Here is a 2833-nt window from a genome sequence, read left to right on the forward strand (position 1 = left end):
CTGGCAAAATTTTGCTCATTGTCTTGGCAATTAACATTTAACTCCTCATTATTTAAGCAAATTTCTGTAGCCAGTTTCAATTTCTCCTCAGAAAATGGATTTTTCTTTTCTATTGCATTATCAGGCTGCAAATTTTCCAGACTTTTCTGCTCTGCTTCCCTTTTAAACATAAGTTCCAATTCTAAACCATCTCATTATTAATACATAAAACTTAATGCTTTTAAGAGTACCTAAGTCACCTCTTGAATGCTTTGCTGCTTAGAAATTTATGCTCCCAGGTACCCTAAATCATCTTTCTCAAGTTCAAAGTTCCACAGATCTCTAAGGCAGAGGCAAAATGCCACCAATCTCTTTCTGAAAGCACAGCAAGAGTCACTTTTATTCCAATTCCCAACAAATTCCTCATCACCAACTGAGACCACATTAGCATGGACTTCACTGTCCATACCACTATCAGCATTTTGGGCAAAGCCATTCAACAACTCTCTAGGAAGTTTCGAACTGTCCCACATCTTCCTGTCTTCTGGTACTCCAAACAATTCCAACCTCTGCCTGTTACCCATTTCCAAAGTCATTTCCAAATTTTTTGTTATATTTGTAGCAGTATCCCACTTTCTGTGGTACCAATTGACTGTATTAGTCCATTTTTATACTGCTATAAAGAACTGTCTGAAAATGGGTCGTTTATAAAGGAAAGAGGTTTAATTGACTCACAGTTCAGCATGGGTGGGGAGGCCTCAGAAAACTTCCAATCATGGCAGAAGGTGAAGAGGAAGCAAGACACCTTCTTCACAAGGCAGCAGGAAGGAGAAGTTCTGAGTGAAGGGGGAAAGAGCCCATTTAAAACCATCAAATATTGTGAGAACTCATTCACTATCATGAGAATAGCATAGGGAAAATCAGTCCCTGATTCAGTCACCTCCCACCAATTCCCTCCCTACACACATGGGGATTGTGGTGATTACAGTTTGAGATGAGACTTGGGTGAGGACACAGAGCCAAACGATATTGGTCATTAGACATCATTATACAATGTATATTTGTGAATGAAAAGTATGGAAGGAAAACAAAGACTATCTTTAAAAATAGATACTGTGTTTTGACAAAAAGCATTTATTTTTACCCTCTGAAATTCTGAATAGGAGTTCAAAGAACCATATATTCAGGAATTAAATACAGTCATAATTGCCTCTGGCAGGGGTATGAAAAGAGTCATACTGTTACTTGTGTAGTAGAAATCAACCTCCTAGCTTAAGCTTGAGCTTCCAGGTTTGTGTAAGAAGTTGGTGAGGAAAACATTTACCGTGGCCTCCACAAGGTTTAGGTAGGTTAAGTACTTAATAGTCCAGACATAAATGTTACATAGCTTATGAGAGAAATTGCAGTAAAATATTTATATGATTTTCATTTCTCCTATATTGGGTTTTGCATTTACACAAAGTGACTGCATTTGATTTCCTACAAAGTGAGAAAGAGCTATTAAGTTATTAAAATAACAAATTAGTAACCAGATTGTTTGAAATAAGTTTTTGAGTTTTGTTTTTGGTTTTTGGAAGGGTAAGTTGGGTTGCATTCATTTGCCAGGAAATTAATTGTGTAGTTTAATATGTCCTCACTTATCAAAGACAACTAAACAGTTTGCAAAACTAATAGCTGAAGATTAGCAAGTACATATCTAAATCATTTCTAAGTTAGTTTACCCGTATGATATTTAATACAATAAATGGATATAAAATGATTATTTTAGCAATTGTAAGATAATCTAGATTTAAAATTATTTCATTCTAATATGCAGTTTTTTAACTATAATTGTTAAAATATTCAGATTAATCTAGTTATTAATTCCAATTTTAAAATGTGTATATATGTATATGCACACATATGTTTATAAAAGAAAACAGTTCGGTGTTATTAATAACATGAAAAGGGGTGGAGCCAAGATGGCTGAATAGGAACAGCTCCAGTCTATGGCTCCCAGTGTGAGCAATGCAGAAGACGGGTGATTTCTGCATTTCCAACTGAGGTACCAGGTTCATCTCACTGGGTAGCGTCGGACAGTGGGTGCAGGACAGTGAGTGCAGCCCACCAAGCGAGAGCCGAAGCAGGGCGAGGCATCGCCTCACCTGGGAAGTGCAAGGGGTCAGAGAATTCCTTTTCCGAGCCAAGGGAAGCTGTGACAGATGGCACCTGGAAAATCAGGTCACTCCCACCTTAATACTGTGCTTTTCCGATGGTCTTAGCAAATGGCAACCCAGGAGATAATATCCCATGCCTGGCTCAGAAGGTCCTATGCCCACGGAGACTCACTCATTGCTAGCACAGCAATCTGAGATCAAACTGCAAGGCAGCAGCGAGGCTGGGGGAGGGGTGCCCACCATTGCCAAGGCTTGAGTAGGTAAACAAAGTGGCCAGGAAGCTCGAACTGGGTGGAGCCCACCGCAGCTCAAGGAGGCCTGCCTGCCTCTGTGGACTCCACCTCTGGGGGCAGGGCATAGCCAGACAAAAGGCAGCAGAATCCTCTGCAGACTTAAATGTCCCTGTCTGACAGCTTTGAAGAGAGTAGTGGTTCTCCCAGCATGCAGCTGGAGATCTGAGAATGGACAGACTGCTTCCTCAAGTGGGTCCCTGACTCCCGAGTAGTCCAACTGGGAGGAACCACCCAGTAGGGGCAGACTGACACCTCACACAGCCGGGTACTCCTCTGAGACAAAACTTCCACAGGAACGATCAGGCAGCAACATTTGCTGTTCACCAATATCTGCTGTTCTGCATCCTCTGCTGCTGATACCCAGGCAAACAGGGTCTGGAGTGCACCTCCAGCAAACTCCAACAG

At 41.1% G+C, this 2833-nt stretch overlaps 1 annotated feature.

The window, feature by feature from the left end:
* Positions 1910-2411: an enhancer, noted in NCBI's record as "H3K4me1 hESC enhancer chr6:93741721-93742222 (GRCh37/hg19 assembly coordinates)". NCBI's record gives its function as "activates a minimal SCP1, AML or CMV promoter by ChIP-STARR-seq in primed H9 embryonic stem cells {active_cell/tissue: H9 hESC(primed)}" and the evidence as "EXISTENCE:reporter gene assay evidence [ECO:0000049][PMID:30033119]".

Source organism: Homo sapiens, chromosome 6 (genome assembly GCF_000001405.40).
Source record: "Homo sapiens chromosome 6, GRCh38.p14 Primary Assembly".
Lineage (NCBI taxonomy): Eukaryota > Metazoa > Chordata > Mammalia > Primates > Hominidae > Homo > Homo sapiens.